Consider the following 17,557-nt stretch of genomic DNA (forward strand, 5'->3'; position numbering starts at 1 on the left):
TAATTTTTATTTTATTTTTATTGTATAGATTTAGGTTAATTTACATTTTACCATGACATATGCTGAAGGCAGAGTTAAAGGAGTAAGAAAAATATAGAGTTTGGAACTCTTGGGATCCTATAGGCTTACAATTCAAATTTTAAATTTAAAATAGAAAATAAACCGAAAAGAAAACATAATTCTCTAAGACAAGAAACATGTTTCCGTTTAGGTAAAAGGAAAACCGATGATTTGTCCCTATGGGCTGAGGTACTTAAAGAATCTCTCTCTGCCTTAGGGCCTAGTCCTTCCTTAGGTTTCCAGCTTTATTTCCTGCCATTCACTTGGAATTTCCCTGAACCTCACTTTCCAAGTACATGAGTCCATACAACATGCCCTGTTCTGAGATGTGGCTTTGCCTTGTTTGTTTGTTGTTTCATTTCCCAGCTGCTTCTGTTGTCTGGAAGGTGCTTTGTTGGCTGCATCCAGACTATTGGAGTTTTTCCTTTTTGTTTCTGTTTTAAAATAACAACTCTTGTTTCAAGGCTCAGCTGAAATCTAAAGCCCTTCAAGAAGTCTTTCCAGTTCTTCTAAGTCAGCTTCAATAATCTACTCTTCCATGATCATGATAGTACTGACTTAGGCTTTCTGGGCTACAGGACTGCTCTGAATACCTGACATGCCCATTCTCTGAGTTCCCACGAAGAGCATTCTTGTTTTACAGCTAAGACCCCTGAAGAGCAGAGAGACTGATGCAGCTGAGCCTCTGCAGCTGGCACTGGAGTGAGACTCATCTCAGTCCTGAGTCTGTGCTCTTATCTGCTAAGCTATGGCATCTCCCTGAATTGTTACACCACATGCTTCATGGTCTTATCTTGCCATTTTTAACTTTTTATTATTATTATTATCATCACAGTGGCTTATTTATCTATTTACTCCATTAGAGTTTGAGCTGTTCAAGGCCAGAGGGTAAGTCTTGTCACTGTGACTCAGCAGTGCCGGCTCTGGGGCTGTCCAGGCAGGAGGGGAGGGGTTATGGTTCAATGACTCTGAAGGCCAACGTCCAAGTTGACCTAGCTTTGCCATGTGTTAGCCATGGGGCCTGGAAAAAATGCATGTCCCTGATACTTAGTGTCCTCCCCTGTAAAATATGGAAGGTAATTGCACTTCTTCCACAAAAAACAAGGTTTTGTGAAAAGTGGTTGAGTTAAAATCTCTGAAGAGCTTGAGATGCAGAGTCTGGCTCATAGAACTCCCTATGTGCTAGGAATTATTATAGCAGACATTTGGCACTTTGAATCGACAGTCCTGGCATTCAAACTGATCTATCACAGTTTTCAAGGCAGGTTTTAAAGCTTTAAACACGTTGTCCAGCTAACTTGTTGATGTTTTACTCCCAATTATTTTTAGAATAAAAAAAGTTTAAGGATTAGTTGGTGACCAGAAGTGATAAGGCAGGCCTTGACTTAGATGTGTGATCTACACTTGTAAACCTGGTAAATACTCTGCTGAGTAATACACACAAAACACACTGATTTTGAATAACTGGATCCCAATTTTATACACAGTAAGATGAGCAGGCAACTTTACAATGAGAAAATAAGACTATTAACTTCAATTTGTTTTTCTTATATTTAAATTCTAGGAGGTATTCTTATGCTTCTGAGTCTCCTATTGACTTCTGCTGAGATTATTCTCACGATATTGCTGAAGAAATTTGAAATTTCCCATTAAAGCAGATGCTTCACTCTCCAATTCATTGAAGCTAAAAAAAGACACAATCTTTTAAAATTTTACAGAGGTTGTATGGATTTCAAGGTTATGATAAAGAATCTAAAATTCAATCACAATATTTTCTTTATGGAAAATTTGATTGGATTTGCATAATTTTGACTTACAGGAAACTGGCCAGTCCCAAGTAAAAGGATTCTCTGTTCCTCTGTGAATTGCATTATCCAGTAATTAGTTTAACACATTGTATTAGTCCTTCTTGCATTGCTATAAAGAAATACCTGACACTGGGTAATTTATAAAGAAAAGAGGTTTAATTGGTTCATGGATCTGCAGGCTGTACAAGAGGCATGGTTCTGGCATCTGCTCCATTTCCGGGGAGGCCTCAGGAAACATACAATAACAGTGAAAGGTGAAGGGGAAGCTGGCACATATTACATGGCCAGGGCAGATGCCAGAGAGAGAGAGGGAGGTGCTACACACTTTTAAACAATCAGTTCTCATGAAAACTCTACCATGAGAACAGCACCAAAGGCAGAAATCTGTCCCCATGATCCAACCACCTTCCACCAGACCCACCTCCAACATTGGGGATTACAATTCGACAAGAAATTTGGGCAGGGACTCAGATCAACCCATATCACACATGTTTTCTGAGTGCCTGCTACATACCACTCACTGTTCTAGTGACTGGCATGCTTTCCTCTTTGAAAATAACATGGCTATAATACTTATATTTTCTTGGTGACCAATCAAAGTCAAGTGAAAAGCTGAATCTTTGAAATAGGTAAATTCAAGCAGTTGAAAATTTAACTGCCTTAATAGTTTACAAGGAAACTAAGGAGGATTAACCAAAGTGGGCCCGAGTGTGGGTCTTCCCACGTTCTCTTCTTGTCCTTTCTCTAATTGAAGGTCTCATCCTCACTGCTGCTCCCTTCGACTACCCCAGGCACTGCCGCCTGGCCAGGATAGGAAGGTGCCACACAAGAGTGACCCTTCCATCTCTTCCTTTGGGCTCCATCTGCCTCCTGGTTTTCACTGTCGCTGGGTTTAGATTATTATAGGGTTTCCAAATTCCCAGCAGATAGTAATCTTTGAAATTTCAGAACAAATAATCAGAATTCCTGAAATGGTATTATTCTCTATTTTTAAGAATACATATTTACATATTTTTAATTAGTAACAAGTGACCATAATATTAAACTATGAATCATTTTTCTACTATAAGATTTTACAGAAAGTTGATTTAAAATTATTATTATAAATCAATATATTGGGACAAAATGATATGTTTTAAAATGATATGTTAAAATGATCTTTAACTGACATTGACATTTTATAGTAGAAAACATTGAAAGAAGGGGTGTTAAAACAAAACAATTGCTGAATAAAAATAATTTTAAAATGTAAACTTTATATTATGTATATTTAATGTTTAGAAGTTAACTTTTTTATTTTTAAAAATTTTAATAGTTTTGGGGGTACAGGTGGTTTTTGGTTACATGGATGAGTTCTTTAGTGGTGAATTCTGAGATTTTAGTGCACCTGTCACTAAAGCAGTGTACACTGTACCCACTCAATATGTAATCTTTTATCCCTCACCCCACTCCCAGCTCCCCACCCTGCAGTCATCAAAGTCCATTATATCACTTTGTATGTGTTTGTGTCCTCACAGCTTAGCTCCCACTGATAAGTGAGAACATGCGGCATTTGGTTTTTTATTCCTGGGTTACCTCATTTAGAATAATGGCCTCCAGCTCCATCCAAGTTGCTGCAAAAGAAATTATTTCGTTCTTTTTTATGGCCTAGTAGTATTCCATGTTGTATATATACACATTTTCTTTATCCACTCATTGGTTGATGGGCATTTAGGCCGGTTCCATATCTTTGCAACTGTGAATTGTGCTGCTATAAACATGCGTGTACATGTGTCTTTTTCATGTAATGACTTCTTTTCCTTTGGGTAGATACCCAGTAGTGGGATTGCTGGATCAAATGGTAGATCTACTTTCAGTTCTTTAAGGAATCACCATACTGTTTTTCATAGAGGTTGTACTAATTTACATTCACACCAGCAGTGTGTAAGTGTTCCCTTTTCATCACATCCACACCAACATCTATGGTTTTAACTTTTGAATTATAGCCATTCTTGCAGGAGTTACGTGGTATCTCATCGTGGTTTTAATTTGTATTTCACTGATGTTGAACATTTCTCATTCATTTGTTGGCTGTTTGTATATCTTCTTTTGAAAAATGGCTGTTCATGTCTTTTGCCCACTTTTTGATGGAATTGTCATTTTCTTGCTGATTTGTTTGAGTTTCTTGTAGATTCTGGATACTAGTCCTTTGTCAGATGCATACTTTGTGAATATTTTCTTCCACTCTGTGGGTTTTCTCTTTAATGTGCTGATTATTTCTTTTGCTCTGCAGAAGCTTTTCAGTTTAATTAGCTCTAATTTATTCAATTTATTTATTTTTGTCTTTGTTGCATTTGCTTTTGGGGTCTTTGTCATGAATTTGCCTAAGCCAATGTCCAGAAGAGTTTTTCCAATGTTATCTTTTCAAGGCTGGGCGTTGTGGCGCATGCCTATAATCCCAGCACTTGAGGTCAGGAGTACAAAACTAGCCTGGCCAACATGGTCAAACCCCATCTCTACTAAAAGTACAAAAATTAGCTGGGCGTGGTGGCAGACGCCTGTAATCCCAGCTAATCAGGAGGCTGAGGCAGGAGAATCGCTTGAACGCAGGAGGTAGAGGTTGCAGTGATCCTTGTTCGCTCCATTGCACTCCAGCTTGGGGCGACAGCGCAAACTCCCTTTCCAAAAAAAAGAAAAAGAAAAAGAAAAAAAAAAACAGAAGAAGAAAAAAGGGAAAAAACAATGTTATCTTTTAGAATTTCTTATAGTTTCAGCTCTTAGATTTACGTCTTTGATCCATCTTGAGTTGATTTTTGTATAAGGTGAGAGATGAGGATCTAGTTTCATTCTTCTACATGTGGCTTGCCAGCTTTTCCAGCACCATTTGTTGAATAGGGTATCCTTTCCCCAATTTATGTTCTTGTATGCTTTGTCAAAGATTAGCTGGCTGTAAGTATTTGGCTTTATTTCTGAATTTTCTACTGAATTTTAAAACACAAAGCACTAGCCATCTTATCCAACAGTCTCGATCTTTGTTTTGTGACAAAAACTGCTGCTTTTATTTCACATTGATGTTTTCTCATTTATTAAGAATGCATCCAAAACTATATTCAAGCCAGGCATTAGGATACATGTAGCTTCATATAAGCTCATTTCCTTTTTTAATAATTTTAGTTTTTTTCTATTGAAATCAATATTGCTTTTACTAATTCAGATTTTAGAACAGTTTTTTGATTTCCCAAGGGAGACCACTTCGATAATATTCACATCTTCTTCTTCTTTCATTTCCTCTCTTCACGTATTTGCAAAGAACCGTAACCTACAGCAAATAATCAGACCTGAAAAACACCAGAAAATATTCCTGGGTAATATTCAAATATTGTAATTCCACCCTGTATGGTGGCTCATGCCTGTAATCCCAGCACTTTGGGAGGCTGAGGTGGGCAGAGCACTTGAGGTCAGGAGTTTGAGATCACCCTGGCCAACATGGTGAAACCCTGTCTCTACTAAAAATACAAAAAAATTAGCCAGACGTGGTGGTGGGCGCCTGTAATCCCAGCTACTCAGGAGGCTGAGGCAGGAGAATCGCTTGAACCTGGGAAATGGAGGTTCCAGTGAGCCGAGATCGCACCACTGCACTTTAGCCTGGGGGGAAATATCTATCTATCTATCTATCTATCTATCTATCTATCTATCTATCTATCTATCTACCTATCCATCTATCTATCTATCTATCGATTGATCAAAATAGTAGAATTGGCTAGCAAGGTTAACAATACTGCACAGAATCACCGTTTGAAGTTGTTAATTAAAGGACTTATTTTGCTTTCCAAAACTTGTTATTTCTGGGCACATCAGTCATAGGATTTGTTTAAAGTACACTATACAAATGAACTTGTTAGTATTTATTTGCAAAAACAACTTACCAGTAGCAGCAGACAGGGCCATGAGCAACTGTTCATAACAAGACAACAGTTATAGCAAGACTGACTGATGAGATGGTTCTTGCTTTTCTCCTCTATGTCTTGTTTAGGTTCCTGGAAATGTTGGCCTTAACCTCCAGCCACCAAATGTCTTGCTTTCAACTAGACATCAGTGAACTCCTTCTAACCAGTAATGCCTCCACGTTGATTGTTAGTCTTTAATAATTATGGGAGAAGTAAACAGTTTTTCTTTTTTTCTTAGTTTCTCAACTTGGTTTCTTGATTTTTCTTAAGATCCTGAAAAACATAAATTTCCCAAGAAAGACCAGGCAAGAATTTTCACATTGAAATACTCATGTAGAAAACCCTTGTGGCTGCTCCCACCTTCTCTGCTGGAACTTTCTCACACTTATCTTGAGCTATGAGTTTCCTCATAAATCCAATCTGTTGGCCTCTTGTGTTTCCAGTATTTCTCACAGTTTCTTATCTAAGTTCTCCTTTTTAATCTTTCAGCATGGCTGAATATCTCTTAAAATATGTTTTCTGTTATTGTTAGGGTTTTGGTATGAGAGGAAAAAATCATGTCCTTTCTGCTATCTTGAAATGAAAGTTTAGCATTTCCATTTTAAAACTCCATTACTGCAATAACGAGATAAGAAGAAGCCCTTTATCAATACAGTGTTGAGAAGAAGGAGCCGCAGGATTCTCACCTGCTTTAGAGATAAACGGTGTTATATTGAGCTGTTTCTTTAGTCCGTGCCAGGGGGGTAAGTAATTTGATAAGAAATGGTTTGGTTTTTCATTTTTTTAATCTGTATATAAATGAACCATTCTTATTGCAATAATGGCTTTAATATATTAATCAGTGCTTTCTGATTAAATGCTACATTTCATTATACTGTGCTATTGAAATGACAGTCTGTATGATTAGAGACAAATGTCCTATGATGAGCAAATCTTACTTCAAATCTGTTAACTGCTTATACCTGCCTCCCTCCTGATCTGGACTCCTCCAATTAACAGGTAATTGTTAGAATATTCAACTTAAGCTTCAATCCTAATGCTCTTATGATACTTACTTCTTTGTTATTATGTTTGTATTTGTGCAATGAAGGCTTTGCAGGAAAAGGAACAGAATTAGTGAGAAAGAAGAATCTCCCTCCACGCCCCTCCTCCACCCCCAATAGCAGTTTCCATTAGTCTTGGTTTACAGCAGCTATAAATTAACTTCCCCATGAGAAAGGGGAGGGGACACCAGAAGTCCTTGACTTTAGTATATTCACACTGGAATTTGTTAATGGAAAAACCAAACCCTGTAAAATATATAAAGAGGTTTATACTGAGCCAATTATGAGTAACCATGGCCCTGGGGAACAGTCTCTAGAAGTCCTGAGAAAGTTTGCCTGAGGCAGTCAGGCTACATTTTGGTTTTACACATTTTTAGAGAGGCAGGAATTTTAGGTAAAATCATAAATCAACACATGGAAGATGTACATTGGTTCAGACTAAAGAGGTGAGATGTCTTGAAGCAGAGGGCTTAGCAGGTCATAGCTGTTTTCAAAGATTTTCTGGTGGCTCTTGCCTGTAATCCCAGCACTTAGGGAGGCCAAGGTGGGAGAATTGCTTGAGCCTGGGAGTTCGAGACCAGCCTGGGCAACATGGAAAAACCCTGTCTATACTAAAAATACAAAAATTAGCCAGGCATGGCAGTGCACGCCTTTAATCCCAGCTACTTGGGAGGCTGAGGCAGAAGAATTGCTTGAATCTGGAAGGTGGTTGCAATGAGCAGAGATTGCACCACTGTACTCCAGCCTGGGTGACAGAGCAAGACCCTGTTTCAAAGAAAAAGAAAGAAAGAAGGAAAGAAAGAAAGAAGGAAAGAAAGAAAGAAAGAAGGAAGGAAGGAAGGAAGGAAAGAAAGAAGGAAGGAAGGAAGGAAGGAAGGAAGGAAGGAAGGAAGGAAGGAAAAATAAAAAAAATACGCTGATGGTAATAAGCAAGAAAATATTTCTTAAGAAAAATACAAGAACAAATATTGATAAAACTGACTACATTTAAAGATTTCTGATATCAGAAGATATTTAGAACAAAGTTAAAAGACAAGCTAACAATGAGAGATGTATGCAAGTTACATACTCATCAAGTATTACTTTCCAGAATTTATAAGCATTTCTGTAAATTACATCACTGAAAAATATATTTATCTTTTCTTATTCCAGTGGCAGAAAAATTTTACATAGAAACTTATTAGCAATAATATAAAAAGTTACAGTAATAAGTTGATCACTTCACTGATCCTTTCAAGAAAAATTTTTATTGTGGTAAAATATACATAAAAAAATTTACCATTTTAACTATTTTCAAGTGTCTTCAAGGTTCAACCATTTTGTAGGATGTGTCAGAATGTCTTTCCTTTTCAAGGCTAAATAATATTATATATATATTTGTTTGTTTGTTTGTTTATCTACTCATCCATGAAGGGACACAGATCACAGATTGCTTTCACATTTTGGCTATTGCGAATAATGCTGCTACGAAAATGAGTATACAAATGTATACTACAGTCTCTGCTTTCAGTTCTTTTGGGTATATACCCAGGAGTGGAGTTGCTAGATCATATGGTACTTTTATGTTTAATTTTTGAAGAATCACCATACAGTTTTTCCCTAGTGACTGCACCATTTTACATTTCCAAAGCAGCACACATGGTGGAAATTTCTCTGTATCTCCACAGACCATTATTTTCTATTTCATTTTTGTCTTTTTAAATAGTAGCTATACTAATGGGTGAGAAGTGGTTTCTCATTGTGGGTTTGATTTTCATTTCTCTAATGATTAGTAATGTTGAACATTATTAATCATATGCTTTTCAGAAATTTTTATCTCTTTTTTTGGAGAAATATCTATTCAAGTGCTTTGACTATTAATCAGGTTGTTCTTTTGTTTGTGGTTGAGTGTAGGAGTTCTTTGTATATTCTGAGTATTATATGCTTATCAGATATATGGTTTGTGATATTTTCTCCCATTTTGTGGGAGAAAATTTTCATTCTGTTAGTAGTGTCTCTTGATGCACAGTAGTTTTTAATGTTGACGTTGTCCAACTTATTTTTTTTTGTTATCTGAGCTTTTGATGTGATACCCAATAAATCATTGTCAAATCTAATCTTAGATTAACCAAGATTAATGTAATCTTAGATGAGATTTCCCTATATTTCTTTCTAAAAGTTTTATCATTTTGGCTCTTACATTTAGGTTTTTGGTCCATTTTGTATTGATATGTAATATGTATACGTATTTATGTGTTACCTGTGATATTTTATTACCTGCATAGATTGTGTAATGATCAAGTCCAGGTATTTAGGGTATCCATCACCACAAGTATTTATCATTTCTATGTATTGAGAACATTTCAAGTCCTGTCTATTAGCTATTTTGAAATACACAATACATTGCTGTTAACTAGTCCATTCTGAGTTAACTTTTGTATATGGTAGAAGATGAGGATCCAAATCCATTCATTTGCATGTGAATAACCATCTTCCCAAAAGTATTTTGTTTAAAAAGCCCATCTTTTTCTCACTGAATGGTCTTGGCACCCTTGTTGAAATTCATTTGACCATATGTGTGATGGTTTATGTCTTGACTCTCTATTCTATTCCACTGCTCTGTATGTCTTTCTTTATGCCAGTACTATACAGTTTTGGTTACTGTAGCTTTGTAGTAAGTTTTAAAATAAAAAAGGATCTTCAAGTTTGTTCTTCTTTTTCAGGACTGTTTTGGCTTTTCTGGGGTCCCTTTAGATCCCATATAAGTTTTAGGATTGATTCTTCTATTTCTGCAAAAATCGTCATTGGGATTTTGATAGGGATTGCATTAAATCTGTAAATTGATTTTGGTAGTATTAATATCTTAACAATATTAAGTGTTCTGATCCATGAACATGGGACATATTTCTACTTATTTGCTCCTTATTTAGTTTCTTTTGGCAATATTGTGTAGTTTTCAGGGCATATTTTTTCCCTCCTTGACTAAATTAGTTTCTAACTATTTTATTCTTTTTGATGCTATGGTAAATGGAATTGTTTTCTTAATTTTCTTTTTGGATTATTAATTGCTAGTGTATAGAAATACAGCTGATATTTGCATGTTGATTTTGCATGCTGCAACTTTGCTGAATTTATTAATTAATTCTAATGGGGTTTTTTTTGGTGGAATCTTCAGGTTTTCTACATACAAGATCAAGTAGTCTGAACAGAGATAATTTCACTTCTTCCTTTCCAATTTTGATGCCTTTTATTTCTTCCTCTTCCTTTGATATAAGTTGGCTCTGTGTCCCCACCCAAATCTCTTATTGAATTATGATTCTCAGTGTTGGAGGAGAGGCCTGGTGGGAGGTGATTGGATCATGGGGGTGGATTTTCCCCTTGCTGTTCTTATGATATATTAAGTGATTTATCATGAGATATAGTTGTTTAAAAGTGTGTAGCGGCCGGGCGTGGTGGCTCACGCCTGTAATCCCAGCACTTTGGGAGGCCGAAGTGGGCAGATCACGAGGTCAGGAGATTGAGACCATCCAGGCTAACATGGTGAAACCCCGTCTCTACTAAAAATACAAAAAATTAGCTGGACGAGGTGGCGGGGCCTGTAGTCCTAGCTACTCTGGAGGCTGAGGCAGGAGAATGGCTTGAACCCAGGAGGCGGAGCTTGCAGTGAGCCGAGATCTTGCCACTGCACTCCAGCCTGGGCAATAGGGCAAGACTCTGTCTCAAAAAAAAAGAAAAATGTGTAGCACTTCCCCCTTCATGCTCTCTCCTGCTCTACCATGTGAAGGTCTTCCTTCCCCTTCAGCCTTCTGCCATGATTGTAAGCTTTCTGAGGCCTCCCAACCTTGCTTCCTGTACAGCCTGTGGAACTGTGAGTTAAACATTTTTTTTTTTTTTTTTTGTAAATTACCCAGTCTCAGGTAGTTCTTCATAGCACTGTGAGAACGGACTAATCCTTTCTCCCCCCTTCCCCTTCCCCATACTCTTCCCCTTCCTCTTTCCTTTTCCTTTCCCTTTTCCTTTTCCTTTCCTTTCGTTTTTTTCTTTTCTCTCCCCAGATTGCTTTGGCTAGAACTTCTACTACTGTGTCAAAAGCAGGAGGCATTTTTGCCTTGTTCCTGAGCATAGAGAAAGACTTTCAGTTTGTTATCATTGAGTATGATGTTAGCTGTGGATTTTTCATATATGGCCTTTATTATGTTGAGGTAGTTTCCTTTTATTCCTAATTTGTTTAGTACTTTTATAATGAAAAGAAATTTAATTTTGTCAAGCGCTTTTTCTGCACCAATTAAGAAAATCATGTTTTTTTTCTCATTCATTCTGTTAATGTGGTGTCTTGCATTAATTGATTTTTATACGTTGACCCATCCTTGCATTTCATTAATAAATTCCACTTGGCATGGTATATGATGCATTTAACATGCTGTTGGAGTTAGTTTGCTAGTATTTTGTTCAAGATTTTTGCATCAATATTCATCAGTGATACTGGTCTGCTTTTTTTTTTTCTTGTAGTGTTTTTGTCTGATTTTGGTATTGGGTAATGTTGCCTTTACAGAATGATTTAAAAATGTTTCTTCCTCTTAATTTTTTTTGAAAGAGTTTGAGGAGGATTGGTGTTAATTTTTCTTTAAATGTCTGATAGAATTCACCAGTGAAGCCATCAAGTTCTGGGCTTTCATCTTGGGGTTTTTTGACTACTGATTCAGTTACTAGTTACAATTCTATTCAAAATTTATATTTCTTACTGATTCGGTCTTGGCAGATTCTGTGTTTCTAGAAATGTGTCCATTTTGTCTATGTTATTCAATTTGCTGGAGTACAATTGTTCCGCTCTTATAATCCTTTTATTTATGTAAATAGGTAGTAATGTCACACTTCTGATTTTAGTTATTTGAGACTTTTCTCTCCTTTTATCAATCTAGTTAAAGATTTGTCATTTAAAAATATTTTCAATGAATCCATTTTTGTTTTCATTAATTTTCTCTATTTTTTATTCTCTATTTTGTTTATTTAGAATATTGTTTTATTTCTAAAGGATTTGCCATAATTTCCTTCATTTTTAAAAAAGTTTTTATTTTATAATTTCAACTTTTATTTTAGATTCAAGGGGTAAATGTGTAGCTTTGTTACCTGCATATATTGTGTGACAGTGAGATTTAGGGATTCAAAAGATCCCATCATCCAGGTAGTGAGCATAGTACCAAATAGGTAGTTTTTCAGCTCTAACCCCCACCCTCTCTCCTCTTTCTAGTAGTCCCCAGTGTTTACTCTTCCCACCTCTATGTCCATATGTACTTACTGTTTAGCTCCCACTTATAAGTGAGAATATGCGGTATTTGGTTTTCTATTCCTGTGTTAACTCACTTAGGATAATGGCCTTCAGCTTCATCCGTGTTGCTGCAAAGGACATGATTAGAATATTGTTTTTAAAATTGCTATAACTGGCCAGGCGCAGTGGCTCACGCCTGTAATACCAGCACTTTGGGAGGCCGAGGTGGGCGGATCATTTGAGGTCAGAAGTTCAATACCAGCCTGGCCAACATGGTGAAACCCTGTCTCTACTAAAAATACAGAAAAAAAAAAATGAGCTGAATGTGAAGGTGCATGCCTGTAATCCCAGCTACTTTGGAGGCTGAGGCATGAGAATTGCTTGAACCCAGGAAGCGGAGGTTGCAGTGAGCCAAGATCATGCCACTGCACTCCAGCCTGTGTGACAGAGTGAAACCCTGTCTCAAAAAAAGAAAAAAAAATGCTATAATTGTATAAGAACAAAATTGTCAGAAAAGTGTCCCTGGAAGAAGAAATTAAGCTGCATCCAAGAGAGTAAAGAGTTAGCAGACACCTCACTGTCCTTTTAATATGTATTTCTGTGGATAATTATAAATTAATTAGTTTAAAAAATCTCTTTGTTGACTGATAATTCAAAGAGCATAGTGACAGCATTTAATTTGCTCCTTAGAAATGTAACTTTGACAATATGCAGAAAAGATTTGGAAAAAAAAGAGACAATCAAAGCAGAGAGAGCAGTTTGGAGGGTTTTGCTATAATGCAATTGATAAATGCTCAAACTAAGACGATGACTACCAATATTTTTCCAGTCTGAAATTTTCTGTTGTATTGGTACCCTTTTTTCTTTAAAGATTTTACAAAGGCTTCAATATTCATGTAGGTAAACTTGTCACTCTTTTACCATAATTTATTATAACTTATAAAGTTAAAAGAATGTGTGTGTGTGTGTGTGTGTGTGTGTGACTTCCAGTTGCTTTTTTGTCTCCTATGGTTTTCTAAAAACTATTTAATCTTTTTTATTCACTAAGTTTTTTTTTCCATTTTCTGAAATTCATCTGAATCAGAATATTCAGGCCTTGAGACAGAAGTGGGTCAGAAATCACTCAAGGTTTTTCAAACAAGTGAATATAATACAGGAATTTGGTTACACTTAGGTAACTATGCTAAATGGCTGCTGGGAACAGCGACAGTCCTTCTGGCTGAAGGCGTACGTGGAGGTGATGGAATCACCAGAGTCCAGAATCATGGAGAAGAGAACTACCTGGGCCAGTCCTGAGACCACAAATGAAACACCACCTAAAATAGATGCTAGGATTACTGAAGGGCTGCTACTAAGCAGGTGAAAGGACTCCTTGCTGTGGGTGCTGGAAATGCTAAAAGATGATGATGAAATGCCCATTGTTCCTTGCTGCTGGAAAATGCCAATAGAAACTAAAATAAAAAAGGTCCCATCTCTCCACTCCTACCTTTCAAACTTCTACCAGTAATTCTTATTGATAGAAACTAACCAGAAGCCAATAGGAAAGTATCTTAGTCCATTTTCAGTTCCTTATAACAGAATACTTGAAACTGGGCAAGTTACAAAGAAATTTATTTCTTACAGTTATGGAAGCTGAGAAGCCCAAGGTCAAGGGGCCACATCTGGTAAGTGGCTTCTTGCTGATGAGACTCTGCAGAGTCCCATGGTGGCACAGGACCTCACATGGTGAAGAGGGTGAGTGTGCTAGCTCAGGTCTCTCTTCCTCTTATTATAAAGGCACCAGTCCCACTCCTATGATAACTCATTAATCCATTAGTCCATTATTCCATTAATCCATGAATGGATTAATCCACTCATGAGAACAGAGCTCTCATGACCCAATCACCTCTGAAAAGCCCCACCTCTCAATACTGCCACATTTGGGATTAAATTTCAACATGAGTTTTGGAGGGGGACAAATATTCAAACCTTAGCAAGTAACTAGGAAAATAGAATATGCAGGGCCCCTGGACAGTCAAAATGCCTGACACAACCTAGAAAGGCAGAAATGAAGGCTGAGAGCAACAGTCAAATGATCAACTCAAACTATTTTTTCTTTGGGGCTTCTGAGTGCCTATAACACATCCGAGAAGGTCATCTATTTGAATTTCGGGATATGTGTTTTTTCTTTGAGACATGAAAGAGAGCTGATGACTTTAAAATCTTCATTTGGATTGGTTTATTTTCATAGATTTATGTATCTCCACCAGGTGGAGTCAGAGGCCAGTTTATTAAAGGGTTAAACTTCGGAAATAAATTTGGTTAAGGATTTTAGTTTCAGAATAGATGAAGGAAAGATAAACAACACTGCTTCTTTCTTCAGATGTTCTTGCTGGAATGGTACCTTGTTATTATCATATCCGCTTTATGTTTTGTCAATGTGCCCCCGTCCTCTGGCTATAACTTAGGACACTTCTGTTGCAAGGAATGGAGACTCATTCCAGCTGGCTCAAGAAAAAAGAATGTTATTATAAATACACAACAAGGAATATCACAGACTTTTTTGGAAAAGGAACAAAATACAGCCAGAGCTTACCAGGAACAGGAGCTGCTCTTTGCTTCTCTTAAGGAACATATGGTCACTCTTATTTCTCTTGCTGATGTATTCATTATTCCTTCATTAAGTATACATACTGAGTCTCTACTATGGTGGTAGGGCCTGGATATACAGGGGTAGAAAAGATATTAAATGAGAAGACAGGCATTAAAGAAATAAGCACACACATAAAATTATAAATTGCTATAAATGCTTGGAATAAAATGTGCAAATTTGAAGAGGGAATGTATATGGGGACTTAATTACAATTAAGAGGTTAGGGAATAAACCATTATCAAAGTGACATTTAAGTATAAACCTAAAAAGATGAGTAGGAGATGGCCAGATTGACAATGGGGTAGGATGTTTGATTGCTTATAAAGGATTTGAGCCAGAAAGAATTGAACCATTTTCTATGCATACAGGAACACAAGGCTTGTTATTTAAATAGCTTATTATTTTAATATAGGGCAAACATATTTGTGGTGAATGGGGGACATTCTGTCAGAATTAGTGGAAACAGTTGTGGAAATATGTGAAATATCTATAGTGTGATTACATTCAGGTTGGTTCTTTACTTCATATTTGCTTCATGTAGTAATTGAAGATATCAATTGTAAATTTTTTATCAGCCCAATGTTTCCCAACACTTATTCATAATGTAATTTACAAGTGCATGAAAATAACTTGCCTTGCATTTTAAGTTGGCCAGTCTCCCTTCTTCTTGTGGGAGGTTTATTACACTAACTAGCAGATCTGGCTCTCCTTTGTTTCCGCTTAAATGGTTACAAGGGCAAACTTGAGCCAGGCATATAAACAGTGTCCAACCTACAAGTGATTCTTCCTTCAAACCAAGTCATTGAGACCACAGCACACCACCTGACATCATCTGGCGTGGCTGTGTACACTGATACATACCTGTCAGAGGTCAGACATACAGTCCTGTTCTTTTTGATCCTTCATATGTACCAGGCTAATTATGAATTAGTATTTTGGCCTCTCTCAGTCTGAATGTTGCTGGTAGCTTTTTTCTCTCCCAGGTCCTGACTTCACAGATAACAATCCACAATTAAACTCATTTATTTAATAAAGCTTCAGTGACAGTAAAGCTTCCTATGTTGATGTTTACTTATAGATTTGGGTAATAAACCAACAGATGGTAGATACAAAAAACTGAGTCACAACAAGCATATCCTAATAGTCTGCTAAAGTAAAAGATTGAATATAAAATAATAACTATTCTATCCAAGCTATCTAAGCCTAGATAATGAAATATTTAAAAACCTTGCCTAGAAAGCAAATATTCCCTTTAGAATTTTTTGAAAAATACCTAGAAAAGTTATTTGAGGGCAGTTTACTTGCATTCCTCAAATTGTACAATTGGCAATTTAAACGAAAACTTTCTACTGACCTTTGAAGTCTCTTGAAGTTTTTTTTGCTTGTTTATTTTGTTTTGTTTTTAATTTAAGAAAGAAGAGGCATCCAGCTCTGCCTTTTTCCCTCATTAAGACATACCAACAGAAATAACTGGCTGCATTTGGTCTTAGCCAATATCATATGATTATTTTTAGGGATTTTTTTGGCCCCCACACAGTGCATGGTTGAACTGCCAAAATATAAATCAAGATATGAAACTTACTACATTCTTCAGAATTAATAAATATTTTCCCTGGTTAAAGCAAGACTCCCATAAGCAAATCATCCAAAATAAACTAGATTAATTAGGTCCAGAATGGATAAGATAGAATATTCACAAAGGATAACACTGTATACAATTATAAATATTCATTCCTTTGTGTTGCTAATTTTAGATTAGGTCAGCCTGTGGATGTATTAGTCTGTTCTCACACTGATATAAAGAACTACCTGAGACTGGGTAATTTGTGAAGAAAAGGGGTTTGACTCACAGTTCCACAGGCTGTACAGGAGGCATGGCTGGGGAAGCCTCAGGAAACTTACAATCATGGCAGAAGGGTGAAGGGGAAGCACGCATATCTTCACATGGTGGCCGGAGAGAGAGAGAGAGTGAAGGGAGGAAGTGCCACACACTTTTAAACCATTGGATCTCATGAGAACTCACTCACTATCACGAGAACAGTAGGAGGGAAATCCACCTCCATGATCCAATCACTTCCCACCAGGTCCCTCCTCCAACATGTGGGGATTGCATTTCGACATGAGATTTCGGTGGGGACACAGAGTCAAACCATATCAGTGGACATGTAATGAAAATGAAAGAGCCTAGCACACTTTAAAAATGCTCTTCATATCTCGGTGCACTGACTAAGATGGCAGGGCAGGCTTCAAATGCCTGCTCTATCGGTCACTACTGTGCAGCTAGGCATCCACTAAACTCTTTGTGCCTCAGTGCCCTAACCTATAAAATAGGCATCATTCCAGCTTGTACACACCATAAGGTTTTGATGAGGATGGGATGAGATCAGGTTTCTAAGGTACTTGGTGTGTAAATAAGCTCTTAATTGAAAATCATATAGTATTATTAATGGCCAGTGATTTTGTTTCATTGCTTAACTCTGCCAGGATGTAACTGTGGGGCAGTGATTCTCACTCCCCCAACCTCAGGAGACATTTGGCAATGTCCAGAGACATTTTTGGTTGTGGGGGGGCTACTGGTATCTACTGAGTAGAATTCAGAGATGCTGCTAATACCCCACAATGCACAGGCAGCCCCCACAGCAAGACTCAGACAGCCCCAAATGCAATAGTGCCAGGTTGAGAAACCCTGCTCTAGTGGGCCTCCTTTTTACTGAGTGTATGTTATACAAGAGTGTGACTTTGTGTTTTGTGCTCTCTAGTTTACTTTCTGCTCCTCTCCCCAATGCTCCCAGACTGTGAACTCCTTGGGGGCAAGTTCTGAGTCATCGTTACTGTGGCCATGC

At 37.1% G+C, this 17,557-nt stretch overlaps 2 long non-coding RNA genes across 4 annotated transcripts, besides 2 other annotated features; both read right to left on the reverse strand.

Annotated features, from left to right (window-relative positions):
- On the reverse strand, positions 1–7,399 carry LOC124902181 (uncharacterized). Its single transcript, XR_007061578.1, has 2 exons — positions 5,774–7,399; positions 1–5,185 (listed from the first exon to the last, which is right to left on the reverse strand). It is a non-coding gene; the product is annotated as an uncharacterized LOC124902181 (long non-coding RNA).
- Positions 585–1,784: an enhancer, noted in NCBI's record as "MED14-independent group 3 enhancer chr9:75472952-75474151 (GRCh37/hg19 assembly coordinates)". NCBI's record gives its function as "activates an origin of replication core promoter dependent on BRD2, BRD4, P300/CBP and CDK7 cofactors, and independent of MED14, by STARR-seq in HCT116 cells {active_cell/tissue: HCT116}" and the evidence as "EXISTENCE:reporter gene assay evidence [ECO:0000049][PMID:35650434]".
- Positions 4,837–6,036: an enhancer, noted in NCBI's record as "BRD4-independent group 4 enhancer chr9:75477204-75478403 (GRCh37/hg19 assembly coordinates)". NCBI's record gives its function as "activates an origin of replication core promoter dependent on BRD2, P300/CBP, MED14 and CDK7 cofactors, and independent of BRD4, by STARR-seq in HCT116 cells {active_cell/tissue: HCT116}" and the evidence as "EXISTENCE:reporter gene assay evidence [ECO:0000049][PMID:35650434]".
- A 6,877-nt stretch (positions 7,400–14,276) lies between the features above and the next one.
- Positions 14,277–16,658, reverse strand: LINC01474 (long intergenic non-protein coding RNA 1474). 3 transcript variants are annotated; one of them, NR_121181.1, is made up of 4 exons: positions 16,617–16,658; positions 15,576–15,704; positions 14,658–14,780; positions 14,277–14,565 (listed from the first exon to the last, which is right to left on the reverse strand). It is a non-coding gene; the product is annotated as a long intergenic non-protein coding RNA 1474 (long non-coding RNA). The 3 variants fall into 3 exon arrangements; NR_121180.1 differs by having other exon boundaries at positions 16,565–16,658; NR_121120.1 differs by having other exon boundaries at positions 14,277–14,569; positions 16,565–16,658.
- Between the last annotated feature and the right edge of the window lie 899 nt (positions 16,659–17,557).

This window comes from Homo sapiens, chromosome 9 (genome assembly GCF_000001405.40).
Source record: "Homo sapiens chromosome 9, GRCh38.p14 Primary Assembly".
Taxonomy (NCBI): domain Eukaryota; kingdom Metazoa; phylum Chordata; class Mammalia; order Primates; family Hominidae; genus Homo; species Homo sapiens.